This window comes from Homo sapiens, chromosome 1, assembly GCF_000001405.40.
Source record: "Homo sapiens chromosome 1, GRCh38.p14 Primary Assembly".
In the NCBI taxonomy this organism is placed as follows: domain Eukaryota; kingdom Metazoa; phylum Chordata; class Mammalia; order Primates; family Hominidae; genus Homo; species Homo sapiens.
In genome coordinates, this window is record NC_000001.11 from 102,979,595 (window position 1) to 102,997,903 (window position 18,309).

At 32.8% G+C, this 18,309-nt stretch overlaps 1 protein-coding gene across 10 annotated transcripts in view; it reads right to left on the reverse strand.

The window, feature by feature from the left end:
• The window catches only part of COL11A1 (collagen type XI alpha 1 chain), a 232,050-nt gene that overhangs the window by 103,122 nt on the left and 110,619 nt on the right, over positions 1–18,309 (reverse strand). For 9 of the 10 annotated variants that reach the window (XR_007085257.1, NM_001190709.2, NM_080629.3 and 6 more), the window contains 6 exons: positions 17,486–17,530; positions 16,395–16,448; positions 16,270–16,314; positions 9,924–9,977; positions 8,039–8,146; positions 4,544–4,597 (listed from right to left, as the gene is read on the reverse strand). Coding sequence is in view for 8 of the 10 variants with exons in the window: in NM_001190709.2 (NP_001177638.1) it covers positions 4,544–4,597; positions 8,039–8,146; positions 9,924–9,977; positions 16,270–16,314; positions 16,395–16,448; positions 17,486–17,530 (360 nt within the window). In the remaining 2 variants the exon portion in view is untranslated. Of the gene's footprint in view, positions 1–2; positions 19–4,543; positions 4,598–8,038; positions 8,147–9,923; positions 9,978–16,269; positions 16,315–16,394; positions 16,449–17,485; positions 17,531–18,309 lie in introns of all 10 variants that reach the window. The other variant, NR_134980.2, reaches the window with a different exon arrangement.

The following is an 18,309-nucleotide window of genomic DNA, read 5'->3' on the forward strand; positions in this document are numbered from 1 at the left end:
ACAATGACATCTGAAATCCTGGAAGCATTGAAAGCACAAATTGATAAAACATTTTAGTTTTTAACCTTCTGAGTAAATGAATTAATCAAGTATTATTTCATCTCTTGTTATAAAACAGTAATTATAGGACATTTTATAGAAAATGTATTGCAATGTAAAATTCTTTGTATTTGCTTCAACTCTAAAGAAAAATCCTATTTTCACAAACAGGAATAGTCAAATATTAAAATAGGAATTTTAGAAAATGTTTTTCCTGAATTAATATTATCATATGTCTATAGTTACCACTTTTGAGTTGAGTATTTTTACACTTTTAAAACTGGATCAATTCATAGACTAAAAACCTTCCTCCACTTTTTCGATTTGGTATTTGAATACAACTATATCTAGCTGAAAGTCTATTTCAGGCACCCAAGCATTAAAACTCTGTTTTTTAGAATTCTGAAGACATAATTTTGAGATTTATGTTAGTTATGCATCAGCTAAATGTATCAGCTAAGTAAGTTTGGTACATTACTTATGCGCATCAAGTATAGATTTTTCTTCTGCAAAGTGAGGGCAGTAATACACACCTTACAGGTAATTTGAAATTTGTGGGACTGAAAAAAAGAATGCTTGGTATAAAAATAATAATAATGTATAATTAATAATTATTTTAAAATGAAATGTTTATAAAAACACTATTTCATTTACAAATGGCCACATTTTACAGATGGAATACAATATAATCCCCAATAACCAAATTTCCCATATGATCTTGCACATATATCTAAATTTTTATCTTCTCATTTAGTTGATCATGATTGTGATTAGCTTCCCTCATCACTGTATCATAAAATAGAGAAGATTAGTGTTCACATCCTTGCTGCTCAACTTGTTAATTATGAGACCCTGAAAAGGAAGAAGTGGAGAGTTTTCCTGTTTAGATCACTGTATGGATTAAGTGCAATAATACGTAAAATGTCTAGCCTCTGTGAGAATACTAGACATCAAATTTTACAAACTTCCCCATATATTAAGGGAAATATAACAAAGCCTTGTTTGACTTGAATACACCTTTCTTTTTTTAATCCACTCACTTGCATTGAAATACCCCTAAAAATAATGTTTCTCCAAGTGATACATGGCTCCTCTGTATCAGAATAATCTAGAGTAGTTGCTAAAAATATGGATTGCTAAGGCACACTCCACATCTACTGAAACTGAAACAGACTCTCTGGCAGTGAGGTCCAGGAATCTGAATTTTTACCAACCTCTCGGGGTCACATGTACTGTGAAATCTTAGAAGTCTTGAAGCTGTATTCTCAGGCATGTACAGTTGGAATAGCCAGGTGTAGAGTATTACCTACTCACAGGAGGTAACTATTTGGCCCTATTCCCAATTTGAAAGCAGTGAATATTACACACTTATCAGGAAGGTAAGATGCTAGCAATTTGTATTTCCTACATGATGCTATTAAAGCAGGTCAATAAAATTGTATGTGATGCCCTATGGCAGCTGATAGTCAAAATAATAACCTGAAGGATGCACTGCTAAGCTGTTTTTTATAACATGTTTTCCTGTATGTTTCAATACATGCCTATACAGCTAACTTGTGATCAACCTGAGAACAATTATTAGGATGTGTAATATTCACGTACTGGGGAAAAAAATCTCTGCACATTACATTTTGAAGAGCTTTCAAAATCTCTTTTCTTTCTCTACACAGAATCAGTTAGCTACGTCTAGCACAGTATTACTATGTGACTATTACAGGAATTGGACAAATGATTATAATACAGTATGAAAATAAAAATTTTGAGGGGGGGGACAAATATTCAGTTCTGTCCTGACTAGAAGAGGTAACAGCATATTTATAGATACTTCATTTAAGCAAAGAGATATTATGCACCAATTTTGTTTTTCATAAATGTATATACTTACGTAGAGTTTCTACTCTAGGAAATTGATAGAAAACACAGAAAAATGACCAACCTACCCAATTAATCAGTTGAATATATGGAAATGTTATTTTTTGCTTCCCATATAAGGAATTATCACCAAAATATATAATTTCTATGAAACAGTATTACCCGTTTTTATATGGAAACACACAAAGGCCATAAAGTCAAAGATTAATTGTGAAATTGGCTCAGTCAATAAATGTGAAACTAAAAATGTGAAATTTTTAAAATGCTGTCTGAAATATAAAGGTATCCTACCTTAAAATAGATTTTATTTTAGAAACAGCTATCATTTTATAGCACATGTGGTGCTACATCTTTTTAATACCTTTATGGTTTATATTGCTACTAAGCAATTAATAAGATGTCAAATTACAGGCCTTAATCTGCTTGAAAGAGACTGGTAAAGGCATTTCATTTTAGTAAAAAAAAAATTTAAATTTATTCAAAATTCATCAGCTTACACATAGGAAAAAATACGAAGCTATCTTTCATTTTGGATGTCCCAGTTTTTCATTTTTGATGTCCCAGTTTTTCATTTTAGAACAGAGAAACTTTAAAGCTTTTTGATCATAGAAATAATAAATGAGTTATGAAGAGAAGCAATATGAAGAAATAAAGAATAAAATTCCAGACATTTCAGTAAAAGGATTAAAAAATGTTGGATACCTCTAGGAGGAAACATTTCTGTTGTTATTCTGTTGCATTTTGTTAATAAAAACAATTCAAAGATTATTGATCAGAGAACTTAGGGAAAAAACGGGATTTTAAATAAATTCATAAAATAAAATTCTACTCATTCATGTAATATTGTGACAGATTCCTATATTTTTAAATCAAAACAAAACAATTGCAATTTAACTTAATAAATAGATCAAGAATGCATGAAGTGATGTAAGGATAGCTTGAGGTCCTGGATTATGCAGTGAATGGCTTCTTTTACTGATAATATTTGTGAAAATGCTTGACATTTGAAAGGAAGCTAACTGGGAGACAGAGCAGTATATTAGAGATAATATTTAAATGATAAAAAGTATTAATCAGTGTCCTGAGTACAGCCAGAAAATATTTAAATTATGCCTGTATTATTTTTAAATCACAGATGCCGTAAATCTTATTTTAGAAGGGTTCAAAAGCATTATATTTATCCCCTGCTACTCAAGGAAGTATTTTTGGGGAAACTCAATGAAAAAATTGTAAGACAAAGCTGTATAGCAAGCCTAAGACAGTGTTATCACGTGGCAATGAGGGAACACAATGACATGCAGTTTACATATTCAGGGAGAAGGATATTTTTGTCTCCCATAATTACATGTGAAACTTATGAATAGACACACGTTTAAGAATGTTACAGAAACAGGATTTGCCATACCTATTGTTTCTGTTATGCCTGAATGGGTCAAACTCAATAAACTGATAGATTGATATAATCTCATGTACATATAACTAAAAGAATGATAAAACTGAAACTATCCCGCACTTCTCTGTCTCCCTCCTGTATCATAACCATTCTGTAATTAATAATCAACATTTATATATTAATTCACTTAACAGGCTTAACTACTGAATGCATCAAGTGCATTCACTTAACTACTGAATGCATCAAGTGCATCCTTAACAAAGTTTTATGATAGGTTTGAGAAAAATTAGTACACCGAGGTAAATATGCATTTTGAAAACCATATTTTTTATGCTTAAAACATGTATATTTCAAATAGCCAAAAATGAGATTTGAGTGATGCAGCGAATTGAATGGTGGCTCCTGAAAATTTATATCCATATACAAATCTATGGAATCTGTGAATGTTACCTTACTTGGAAAAGAAAAAAAAGTCTTGCCAAATGCTATTAAATTAAGGAAATGGGATCCACCTGGATTGCCTAGGTGGTCCCTAAATCCAATGGCGAGTGTTCTTACAAGAGACAGAAGAGAATAAGACACACAGAAAAAAGGCCAGTTAAGAAGGGAACAGAGATTGGAGTCATGAAGTCACAAGCCAAGGAATGCCTGGGGCCACCAGAAGCTGGGAGAGGCAAGGACAGATTCTTTACTAGAAACTCTGGAGGGAGCATGGCCCTATGACACCATGATTTCATACTTCTGTCCTCCAGAACTGTAAGGCAGTGAATTTCTGTTGTTTTAAGTTAATACGTTTGTGGAGATTTGTCATAGCAACCCTGGAAAAAAAATACTCATGGAAATGAGGGTAATAGTGTGAAAGGTGTATTAATTTTAAAAACTCAAGTGGTAATTTAAACCCTTAGGATAATAGAAAGGAAATCAAAAGCCGTTATGCATCAAATGTCTTCCATGTTAAAACTTCCAGATATACTAGGATATTTCTTGTTCCAATTACAAAGAATTACCGATTATGCCTTCGTTTCATGATTCCTTCTCCTAAAATACTGCAATCCATAATCACCTAAGCTCTTTGAGCTCCCTGCACTCCAGGCGTCCACACACTCTATGATTTTCCTTGTGAAATTATTTTTAAGTACTCATGATAATATAGAGATGTTACAAATTGTAAGGTAATCATAAGTGATTAATATTATCTTCACGAAATGTTAATAAACTATAAATATCAAGCTGTTTTACCTTTGGACCTTGTCTTCCTGGATATCCTGGTAATCCTGGAACTCCAAGTTTTCCCTACAGTTAAAATATATAATAATCAAAGTAATATTTTAAGTTGAATTAAGCTTAAATAATGATTTCAATTTTTTTTAAATATTAGAATCACATATTGTACACTCAAAAGGAAGATTTGCAGATTTTTGTCATTATTTACCTTCATTATATTTCTTCACGTGAATAAGAAAATTGTTGCTTTGAACATATTTCTAATGTTATAATGTTGCCTAACTTAACCTTTATTATATAAGTGGTAGTGCCTTCTTTAGGTACATGAACCCTGAGGTTTTAAAGAGAACTCTGCACTTCTTTGTGAATTCTAAAGCATGGTTAAAAATACTTCTAAGCTTTTTCAACATTAAATACTATTTTAAATTAGTGATGTAACTGGCACAATATTTAGATTTTATCCCTTCAACCAGAGTAAATCTTTTTGATACAGTTATTTCATTTACCCCAGTCTAAATATAAAACAAGGGATCATGAGTTACTTAACTTTTCTCAATGAGTAAGTAAACCTAGATATGCAAAGAAATTCAGAATTAAATTTTAAGACAAATTTCTTCTTTCACTCTAACATGCTGAAATATCTGGACTAATAAATATAATATGTGTTGAGAGCTTTAGCTAATAATGATGGTTTTTGTGGAGTGTTTATTCCTCCAAGCAGGGAACTGAATATACTATTTTGTTCCAGTGCAATAAGGTTACCTTTCAATCTGAAAGTGCTAAAACAAAATTTAAGTTATAATGAAGTCCAACAATGTGTAACAAATACCAGATGGTTTCAAATATTATCCTAAACAATTTACTTCCCTATGATTTCTATCTGAACAAAACATTAATTAAAAAAAAACACAGGTAAAAAGATAAAAAAAGAATTGAATAAAATATGTATGTGGAATTTTACTGTGCATCCATTTACCTAATAAGATACTTACAAAAGCACACTTCATTTATAAAATATTATTTACTAATGTCTTAAACATTAGAAAGCATAATGTATCATTATTTTCAATGTACATTGAACAACTAAAAATGGAAAACAAACACAAGTTCAAATTTGTATGTGCATTGATAAAAGATGAACAGAAGCTTATAAATAAAAATAAGTATTTTACTGGATGAAATAAGGCAAAAAATTAAGAACATGGTTTATGACCTTGTTAGTACAGATTGAACTAAAGAGTTGTCCAAGTCATGATCAGCATTACATAGATAAGTAGTCTTCAGATGGAAAATATCAAACAAACCCTAAGAAGCATACTTATAATGATGTTCCCTTGGATATATTAAGTTATCACAGCTTGTTTTACACCATCAATTTCAGGATAAGTAAAATTATCTAATTCTGATCACAAGCTATTTGTTTTCTTTGGTAATTACCACATTAGAATGTATGTATATACTCTAATTCATTTTAGAGTCATTTTAAAATAAATTCTGGCAGAAAGTTTGTATTTTCAACAGGATGATAGGCAACTTCAATAAACTAACATATACTAATGAAATGTTAAAGAAGAAAAGAACTGTGGGGTAGTTTAAGCTCCTGATTTATCACAATAGCTTGTGTGACTGTTTACACATGATAGAGCCTAAGAAGACAGGAAGGTCCCAGGATACCCTTTTAACCACTGGCCTTGAGCATTTTAAGGGAAAGGGTTTAAACGCCCCATAAGGCCTTGTTTTCCCCTGATCTTTTTCTTTTGCTGCCAAATCACTATAACATTGCTCATTAATTTACAATTAGCAATGTTTTTTCAAAGTGTGAAACTGTAGAAGTTGCAAAGTATGAAACCCGATAAGAACTGTCACATTAGATGATTCATAAGGACATGAGGAATTTTCTTTTTGACTATTCACACTCTCTATCTAATACCTATATCATATATTTTCTTTCTGAGATAGAACGGTGGGGGCTTCTATTTGTAATTTTCTTAAATAGCATTATTGCGGCACTATTCACAATAGCAAAGACTTGGAACCAACCCAAATGTTCAACAATGATAGACTGGATTAAGAAAATGTGGCACATATACACCATGGAATACTATGCAGCCATAAAAATGATGAGTTCATGTCCTTTGTAGGGACATGGATGAAGCTGGAAACCATCCTTCTCAGCAAACTATCGCAAGGACAAAAAACCAAGCACCGCATGTTCTCACTCACAGGTGGGAATTGAACAATGAGAACACATGGACACAGGAAGGGGAACGTCACACACCAGGGCCTGTTGTGGGGTGGGGGGAGGGGGGAGGGATAGCATTAGGAGATATACCTAATGTAAATGAAGAGTTAATGGGTGCAGCACACCAACATGGCACATGTATACATATGTAACTAACCTGCACGTTGTGCATTAAAGTATAGTAAAAAATAAAATAAAGAAATTATGGAATGTTTGTTGTAGAAAATATAGACATATACATATAGAAAAGGAAACATTTGAATTATACCAGCAAGAGATTACTGATATTTTGCTTTAGTGTATATAATGTAATAACACTTGTCATAGACAGTTCTTGCTTGTCATCATAGACAAATGTTATTACATTATAACATGAAGTCAAATTTCAATGTTGCCTAATATTATATTGAAATATAAATGTAATGGTTGCAAATCTTTTTGACGCAACACATAATGCCCCGTGTCTCTCAAACAATGAATATGATAATTATCTGGGGATGTTTTAAAACATATTGATATTGTGTCAAGCCCAGATTAAAATTAAAATCTCTTGAAGTTGGGCCTGAATACCAGTATTTTTTAATAGACTTATTATGTGAAATGCATGTTTAAGTGGAAAAAATAAAAGATGATTCTACTTGGTGTAAAACCTTAAGTAGAACCTCTTTCATTGATTCTTTCATCCTTTAATCACACATCCTTTAATTCTCAACATCTAATGTGGAAGAACTCTAAGAGTAGCTGATTCCACATGGCCGAGGAGGGCATAGAAGACTAGAAAATAAGGAGAAGTGACAAAAGAAGTGTTCATCTCATAATTATACCTCTTAGGAGTATTTAATAGGAATTTAACAGAATTCCCTATTTAATATAGACATATACATGTAGGATATATATATATATGTATGTATATGAAAGAAAAGGAATCATTTTAATTCTATCCATAAGATATTATATTTTGCTTTAGTGTATATAATGTGATAACACTTGTCATAGACATTTCTTGCTTTTTTTTTTTTAAATTTAACTTCACAGTACATTATAGAAAATTTAAGGTGTCACTAAATACTTTCTGGAGGCAAATTTTAATGTTGCCTAATATTACACTGAAACGTAAATGTAATGGTTGCAAATTTAAAATGATAATGAAACATTTTATCTTTAATGTAGTAAGAACTCAATTTCTGACACCAGTTATTGAAAGAAATTTAAATGATAATGAAACATCAGCTGCAAGAGTACCAGTGAATTTAAAGTCATTTACCAACCTTTTCTCCTGCTTGACCTGAAGGACCTGGGTCTCCAGTTGGGCCTGCTCGACCTTTGGGTCCTTCAGGGCCATCTTCCCCTCTTGGGCCAATTTGACCAACTTCTCCCTGAGGCACAGAATAACAACATTCTTATGAGTGAAACGTCCTTTACAAAAATTGTAACAGGGAAAAAATTATGACAGTGAAAGAGATCTGATATAATAAACTCCATCTTGCCTTTTACCTTCAAACTGCCCTTGATCGTTCCTGGGCATGGAGCAAGCTAACATTGGGAGAAATGTACTTTATAGTTTAAATGATGATAGTCTTTCCCCAAACAAATCTGCCTTTATAAAAACTAATACAAAGCCACAAGGTTAGAATTATGAGAGGGGTGTGAATTCCACTAAAATGTAGTCATAGTAAAAAATTACCAGCCATTGTTCCGAAAGTTACAATGTTTATAACTTCCCCAATTACTCCTGTAAATAACATCACTACGTAGAACATAAGATTAGCCTTTTGAGATGTCTTTTCAGACTTTTGCATTTCTGACAACCAGCTGACTCCACTCAGACCCATGATTCGTGATTTAACTGGCCTCATGTTCCCCAGCCAGAAGCTGAATCAGCACACAAGGACCATTTTCCATACCCCTATGATTGCATCCTCAACCAAGCAGCAGTTCTCATTTCCTAGCCTCCTGCTCACCAAACTATCTTTAAAAAACCCTATCCTCCAAATTTTTGTGGAGGCTAATTTGAGTAATAATAAAACTCTAGTCTCCTATTCAGCTAACTGTATGCATAGAGAAAGAGTTTGCAATTCCCCTGTCTGGATAAATAGGCCCTGTCTGGGCAGCAGGCAAGATAAACCCATCAGGCAGTTACAAAAATATATTTGGAGATTGAAAGGCATAAATTACAGTCTGTTGAAAGTCAGAGTTTTCAACTTTGGTGTGTTTACTCATGTTTTTGTTCATGAAAAAGAGGCTTGAAAGTGTTTGACTTAATCAATCTTTTCATATTTAATAAACAACTGAATATAGTCTGATATTTGAAAATCTACAAAAGCTGAATCATATCATATATGACATTAAATTGCTTTTAATGCACCTGTGTTATAGAGAGAGGGAAAAATAATAATAAAGATTGTTCAGCAGCTTTGGAAATTACTGTTTGGAACACAAGAAAAATGTCTCTCTTTTGTACGTGGCTTTTATCTTTAACGTTTAAGAACTTGTATATGGATGTTATTGCCCCCAATCCTGCATGCAGACTTCATTTGAATTTTAGGAAAAGAAATATTTTCTATAGAATGCTTCTTTATTCAGATGTATTAGGTACTAGTATATTACTTAAAAATAAATCTTCCCAATAAAGCATTTAATTTGCTTTAGATAACTAATATTTCTGTTTGTTTTCTATAATGTATTACTAGAAAAAACTACTATTTTTACATTCAAAAATTGAACACCACCATATAATGAAAATTCATGAAAGTTACAGACGTATACTTTCCAGGCAGCATAGCTCATTATATATGAACAAAATTTAGAGCAAACTTATCAAATTACTTCTAGTAATTTGATCTAACTTTCTAATGTCCTGTGTATAAATACTAACACGTGTGTGTGCATGTGTGTGTGTGTGTGTGCACGCGTGCATGCTCATGTTTATTATGGAACCTATGGAAATATAACATCTAAAAGACAATTGATACTACACTATCTCCACAAAAATTAAAATCCTTAAATCTTTGTATAAAAACTTAAATGAGTAAAGACTTAGGTAGTACAAACATTTTATTTATCATATGCTTACTATATTTAAAGATAAGCAAAGGAAAAAATATATATATATATTAAATTTTGTGTACTGGTGTACATTTTCTCTATACTTACTCTGTCACCTTTTAGACCCATGTCACCTTTGAATCCTGGAAAACCATCTTCACCCTAAAACATTATAAAAGGAATTAAATAGGAGTTTAATCAGTCCTTTGGAGTAACCTAAAATATTGCTATAAAAATTTATGTGCTGATAACGAGGGAAAATTATTTTTGAGAAATGTGCATGGTAGTTGTGAAACTTCCTCCTCCCTTTTCCAACTCCAGCCACAGATTCTGATCCCCAATATCATCTCATATTTTCACATTTATTGGCTATAAATTACCCTAGGACATTTTTCACAAATATGTTCATTAAATCTTATTTTATGAGGGAAATAACCATTCTCCCATAACAACATGTATTCTATACTGGTTAAACAAATAAAAAGTAAATATTTAGCCAGGTGTGGTGGTTCACACCTGTAATCCCCACACTTTGGTAGGCGGAGGCGGGCAGATTATTCGAGCCCAGGAGTTTGAGGCCAACCTGGGCCACATGGCAAAACCCATCTCTACAAAAAATACAAAAATTAGCCAGGTGTGTGGGTGCATGACTGTAATCTCAGCCACTAAAAAAGCTGAGGTGGGAGGATTGCTTAAGCCCAGGAGGTCAAGGCTGCAGTGAGCCGTGATTGTGCTACTGTACTCAAGCCTGGTGACAGAGCAAGAACTTCTCCCCCCAACAACAACAACAAGAACAACAACAACAAAAGGAAACACTTAATTATCATTTTAACTTTGTATTACAAGAGCTCTGGAGTAGCACACAGAATGAATAAAATGATTTTCCCTTAATTTACTAATTTATGCCTATAAATTTTATATTGTATTTTTTTTTAAAATCATGTCCATTAGATAAATGCCTTCTAGCTCAATGGGTTCTGTATCTTACAATCTTCTTTCAGGTAAAATTAATTATATAAAATAGGAATTAATAATATCCTTTACAGGTAGAATTGCTAATTGTAGCACTATACACACAGAGCAACAATGCTGAAAATGAAGTCATTTAATGAAGAGAGGAACGATTTGGGCTACGGAAATATTTTCTATCATTCTTATTGAAACCTAGATTTTTAAGTAAGTTGCATAAACAACCTTATTATCTCTTAAGTTCAAGAAAAAAAAATTAAATTACTAAGAAATAGTCATTCATGTGTTCAATAAAATTAATTGAGCAATTACTCATTCAAAGTGCTGCGGAGTATTTTGAGGTTTTTGTTTTACCAGTAAAATCTAAAAGTGGGCCAGGCACAGTGGCTCATGCCTGTAATCCCAGCAGTTTGGGAGGCTGAGGCAGGTGGATCATCTGAGGTAAGGAGTTCGAGACCAGCCTGGCCAACATGGTGAAACCCTGTCTCTACTAAAAATAGAAAAATTAGCCAGGCATGGTTGTGGGTGCCTATTATCCCAGCTACTCGGGAGGCTGAGGCAGGAGAATTGCTTGAACCTAGGAGGTAGAGGTTGCAGCGAACCAAGATCACTCCGCTGCACTCCAGGCTTGGCAACAGAGGGAGACTCCATCTCAAAAACAAAACAAAACAAAACAAACAAACAACTGAAAGTGGGACATTTGCAGTTATTTTGGTACAGATGAAGTAGAAAGGGTGTCTGGAGAAGAATGCCAAAATAATGATAATGATGATGATGTATGGTGCTTGTGGAGGAGGTGGTGAGGCAGGAGGTTAATAGGGAGGGTTTGATGGAGGGGTTTTTATTTCAGTTGGTAGAAATGAATTTGATTTGATAATTTCAGAAAAGAACATTTTGGGCTGTGTATGAAAACAAAGCTAGGAAGGATAGGCACAAATGCTTCCACATCTCGCTGCCAAAATGATCTCTTTAAAATACAAAACTGGTCACATCAATTTTTACTTTAAAATATCCTAATCGTATCAAATTGCTAATAATCAATATAAGGCACCTCCCTTCACCACGTGATCTAGCCCTTCTTCACTTCTTCAGTCTTTTGTCTTGAACTCCTCCTAAAATTAACCTCTCCATCTTGTGGCCTTCACTGAATAATTATTATTGCAACAATATGCCGTCCTGCATTTTCTAGATCATAGGTTGTTTTCCTTCTGCTAAATGGCCGAACACAAGAATCCTGCCTAATTAACCTGTGAGTCTCCAGTGTCAAACATGTTTTGGACCTTCAGTAACCACAATGTTCAATAAACATTTACTAAATGCCTCAGTGTGAGTTTAGCAAGGTATATTAAAGTCCAGAAAATACCAAATACTGGGTACTTGTGAATATGAGACCTAACCCTGGAAAGAGATTCAAACTGTTATCTTGCATACTCAAAGAACTCTAGCATGCCAGGAATTTTTTTTTTTTTTTTCAAGAGAAAGTCATGCCATTTTCACCATCCTGCCCAGGATGCTCTCTGTACTGAATGTGATTGGGCAATGGCAGAGGCTTAAGAGCTGTAAATGACCACTGAACTTGCTATTGACAACGTCTTCATTACCTCCTCCCTAGAGAAAAACATAATTACACAGCTGCCATGCTTAGTTTAAAGAACACTGCACTCTATGTCTAAAAATCACTTATAGACTCTGACTATAGACAGAATTTTATTTTTAAATTATTTTTAAAGTGAGAATTCAGTCTACAGGGAGGCTATTTTTCTCATGTTTTAGTTTTCAGCATATTCACGTTTAAAAAACAATTAGATGATTTAATTAGGTATTTCCTTATAACAAATGTCATTTTTTAGCAAGTGACGTATCAAGTTATTAAGATTTCTAGTATTAAAATTATCAGATAAAGAAAAAAAGAAGAAAACATAGTTTTAGAAGATGTATAAAAGTGGAATTCATCTATGCCACCTAATTTATTGAGCTGTGTTGCTCCAGACTTAAGCGACAAATCTAAGGCTAAAAAAGAGAGAATTTTAGTCATAATTAGAGTACTAACTTGCTATATCACCTTTGGTTAACAATTAACATCATTATATATAAAATATTTTCCATTTTCTTCTATCTCGTAAGAGATAAATGATCAATTATCTTGCATACTCAGAAAAATGAAATAAATAAGGCATATTAAAAAGTCATCAGGGCTTAATCCTTCACAGAGTTTGAAAATATGGAGAATTCTTACCATTAAAAATTCTACAAATATTTATACAAAGTTTCTCTAAATCTATAATTTAGAAAACTAAATTGTAATCTATAATAAAACATAATTTACTACTTGATTGGTATATTAGATAGAATAAAAGCTATAGCTGAAAAATACCTTTAAATTTTTTTAGGGAATTTTCTTTATTTTACAGACTTCAAATGAGGCTCAGAAAAAGTAACTAGAAAAACTAGAATAATAACCCAGAACTTTTGGTTCCCAATTTAAAATTTTACTTATTTTCCTCTATACATACTTGCATCTTCTGAGACCATACACCCTAAAAACAATGAGCAATTGTTAATAAGCTTTCCTATGTACAAAAAATGTATCTTATTTTTTTTTCCTGTATGGCTTTGTCCTCATATATATCTAGTCATTTATAATTTTATTTGCCTCTGTCACTTTACAACTCTCCTAGCAAGTTTCAGCAGTTAACAACATCCCCACCCCAGTCAGGCAATTTTCTTTTAAACACTGCCTAGCCCCTCTAAAAATCCTTGATGGATACTAATTCCAGAGAAAAACATTTGCATTTTTACTTACATTTCTTAACAAGAAAAATTCTAAACAGAGACATTATTTTTCGTATAGGCAACCTACAAATTACATGTTAAACCCTACCTGACTCACCACTGTGCTCCTTTGTCAATTCAGTGAGACACTATACAGTCTTCTCTTGGTATCTAGGGGTGATTGGTTCCAGGACCCCAACCCAACTTCCTATATCAAAATCTGTGGATGCTCCAGTTCTTGATATAAAAGGCTATAGTATTTATTTATAGCCTACCCACATCCTTCTCCTTTATACTTTAAATCACCTCTAGAATACTGATAATACCTAAGAAAATCTAAATGCTATATAAATAGTTGTTATTTTTTCATTTGTATTATTGTATATTGTTGTACTATAACTTTTTTTGACAGGGTCTCAGTCTGTCACCCTGGCTGGAGTACAGTAGCTTAGTCATGGCTTATTGCAGCCTTGACCTCCTGAGCTCAAGCAACTCTCCCTCCTTAGCCTCCCAAGTAGCTGGGACCACAGGTGCGCATCACAGTACCTGGCTAATTTTAAAAGTATTTTGTAGAGATGACGTCTCACTACTTTGCCCAGGCTGGTCTTGAACTACTGGGCTCAAACAATTCTACTGCCTTAGCCACCCAAAGTGTTGGGATTATAGGCATGTGCCACTGTGCCCAGTCATATTATAATTTTTTAATTTAATTTTTTGTTTTTCTAGTATCTTTGATCTATGGTTTATTGAATCCATGGATGCAGAACCCATAGGGAGAGCCAACTGGTACTCTGAAGTTCATCTAGGTGATCAGGATGAACTGAGATTACCGTTAAGTAGGTGAGCTAATGTGAAATGCATGGCCTTTTTCATGTAATAAATCTGACAACATAGTTGTTTACTTTTAGTATATAACAGTAGCTTTTTCCAGATAAAGTATAATGGATATAATAAATCCATCCCTTTTTGTTATCCATTCCCTATTGGTATCAAATCCACACATAAGCCTTTTGATAATATTGTAACCATGAAAATAAATGACTGTCCTTGAAAAAATATTAGCATGTGATATAATTTGGATATTTACCCACCCAAATCTCATGTTGAAACGTAATCCCCAATGTTGAAAGTGGGACCTGGTGGGGGGTGATAGGATCACGGGGGTGGATTTCCATTGAATGGTTTAGCACCATCTCCTTGATGCTGTCCTCCTGATAGTGAGTGCCTTCTCAGGAGATTTGATTGTTTAAAAGCATGTGGCACCTTCTTCACCCCCTCCTGCTCCTGCTCCCAGCACATAGGATGCCTGTGCCCTCTTTGCCTTCCACTGGAAGCTCCCTGAGGCCTTCCAAGAAGCAGATGCCACTATGCTTCCTGTACAGCCTGCACAACCATAAGCCAATTAAACCTCTTTTTTATAAATTACCCAGTCTCAGGTATTTCTTATAGCAGTGCAAGGACAGTCTAATAGAGTATGTTCTTATGAGTATGATATTAACAATAGTTAATATCCATGTATATCTTACCAAACCTACCAATATTTATGCTATGCAACTATGTGTTGTTTTAACTTTGTATGAAATTTTGTAGTAAGAATTAATTCAATACTGATTCTGAGTGTATTAGTCCGCTTTTACATTGCTATAAAGATACTACCTGAGACTGCGTAATTTATAAGGGAAAGAGGTTTAATTGACTCACAGTTCTGCATGGCTGGGGAATCCTCAAGAAACTTACAATCATGGTAGAAGGCAAAGGAGAAACAAGTACCTTCTTTACAAGGTGGAGGAGAAAAAGAAAGAGAGAAAGGGGAAGTACCAGGCACTTATCAAACAACCAGATCTTGTTAAGAACACACTCACTATCAGGAGAACATCATGAGGGAAACCGCCCCCATGATCTCATCACCTCCCACCATGTGCCTCCCTGGACAGGTGGGAATTACAATTTGGATTAGAATTCAAGATGAGATTTGGGTGGGCATACAGCTAAACTCTATCACTGAGTAATGTCATTCCCTTTGCATTTCATCATAATCTTTGAAGGATTTGGGGCTTTGCAGGCCTGCTAAATGTATCCTTGAAAAAAATCTGAATGTCATGTTCTTCAGCAAAAGCCAATTACCTATAAATGCCCTATAAAAGATGCCATATGCATTCATAGTTTTAGGTACATTTTTTCATTCACTTCTGTCTGGTTGTAATTTTTATCTCTCTCATTAACACTATTGATTTGTGTGTAATACTATATAGAAAGACTTCCTCTTTCCCCAATTAATTTAGTGTACTTCTAACTTTCCTGTTTTGTGCTGAATTTGTTTAAACATTTTGGGGATTTCAGTAGGGAAAAAAGGAATAAATATTCATATGTTATGCATCTAACTAGATAACATCTAAATCCTGCAGCAAATCCATTCGTAAGGCCAACCCTATGATTAACAAAACTTAAGCACATGTAAAAAAAAAAAAAGAAAAAGGATGCAGAATTAATTCTCTTAGGTAACATAATTTAGTTTCTGTTCTGGTATTTAACCCTTATCACAAGATATAAGACATTGTTTTTAAGTTGTGAGGATAAAGAATACAAAATTATACTAGCATTGCGTAGTATGTAGTAATCACTCATATATTCAAGAAATAAAATGTCTGTTGAATAAATTTAAATGTTAACATAATACACAGAAATTAATACCATCTAAACAATTAAATTTTACCTTTTCACCTTTAGATCCCTTGAGACCTCTGACACCATCTGCTCCCTGTGGAATAAATTAGAAGTATTAAGTGAATATAACATTTCACTTTGAAAGTAAATAATGTGAAAACAATTTAACGTTACCTTTACTCCCCGGGGGCCCGGGTATCCAATAGGACCTTGTGGACCAGGGGGACCCTGAAATAGATGAATTACCACTTATACGTGTAATAAATTGAAAGTGCTACTCATTTACATACTATAATTTTACCAACTAATCTACAAGGATATGGTTTTTTTCTACTGCTAATATTTGATAAAGACTTTTTGGTAGTTTACTCTTTATTTCTAGAAACAGATATGATGAGAAAAACATGTAACTAGCACTACTCACTCCAAATTTATTATGTCATATATTCATACTAAAAATACAATATTGAAATGGACTAATAAGGCAAATCTTACAAGCATGTAAAATAATGTAAACAATTCAAAAATTAATAACTAGATTTTTAACCTAAAATATGCTATACTAATGTCTATAAAAGACAGTTATTGAAAAACTAACAAGATTGATAATTTCAAATAGAAAATTATAAATTAGTAGCATTCACTTCATCAAGAATATAATCAAAATTATATATCTTCCAAAAGCTGGTTTTTTCTCTAGTCTATCTAGATAAAATGTTCTATCAATCATAATTTATAATTTCCTCAGTAATGCTGAAATTTTAATGCTGTTTTAAAATAATTAAAAACAACTGTAAACAAAATGATCCTACCCCTGCTACTGTAATCTAAAGTACTAACATTGAATATGCACATATTACATTTCACTTTGATATTTTAATAGCCATTGGTCTTAATTTAACATTTAATTAGATAATGGTTACCAGAAAGTAATAAGTAATAATAAAATTGGGGTTACATAAGCAGTTCAGTAATATTGAGTAATTCTTGCCCAATTTCATTGTTTATATTATTATCATTTACTCCATATATAATACACATGAAAAATATGCACGTATTCCTAGCCATGGGAATATTTTTTAAAAAGAGAGAACATAGTCTAATTTCTAAAATTACTGATATAAAATTAAAAGTAGTCTAAGATATCTTTTTTATACCCAAAATAACTATATGAACGTGATTTATATATATGAGATGACCAAATTAAGGCATTTTCTCTTGGAAATTTATTAATAGGACATTTAAATGGATACTTTGGAACCTACCAGAGCCCCCTTTTCTCCAGACTGGCCTTCTTTCCCAGGATGACCCTATATTTAGCAAAAACATACACTGATAAGATGTAATATAAACATAGTTGATAATACTACGAAAGTATTTCTTTTGTTATTAAATCTACTAAGATCTTACTCTTTAAGTTTCAAAAACATTGAACACTTTTGCATCAGTGTGTATGGCTTTAAATAAATTGGAAACTATGGCATTTGGAAGTAAACATGACAAGCTTATATTTGATGGATGTAAGTTTCTTCAAATACATAATGCATTTGAGAGAGCTTAGAAAAAGCACATAAAATAATACATATCATTCATTAACAATTCAACCCCAGCCTCAATTAAAGCCTTACATAAAGGTATTTAAATCTGCCTTATATTTAGCAAATTAATCAAATGATCATACATGCACCTTCAAAGGGGCACTAAGACATGTGGATGAGACATCTGAAAATACAGCGAGATCATAAATGCTAACAGTGTTAATAATCAACTTATTGAGATTCAGTAAATAAAAATGTATAGCCATATCACAATTATACCCAATAACAAGGAAAGGTAGGATGAGAAATCTTATATCCTAGTACTACAAAATCTGCATATGTAGTTTAAAGAGGAAAAAAATCTGTAAATAACAAATGTTTTAATATAATAACTGTAGAGATTACATAATTTCATTGTTTATTACTATTTAAAGGGAAATAATAAATATTACTATATTTCTAGAAAAGAAAGAAATCTGTGAAGGCTGAGATATTTTCATGAAAGATGTCTGAGAAAATTTATGAATGGTGAGGAACTTCACCTGGACTCA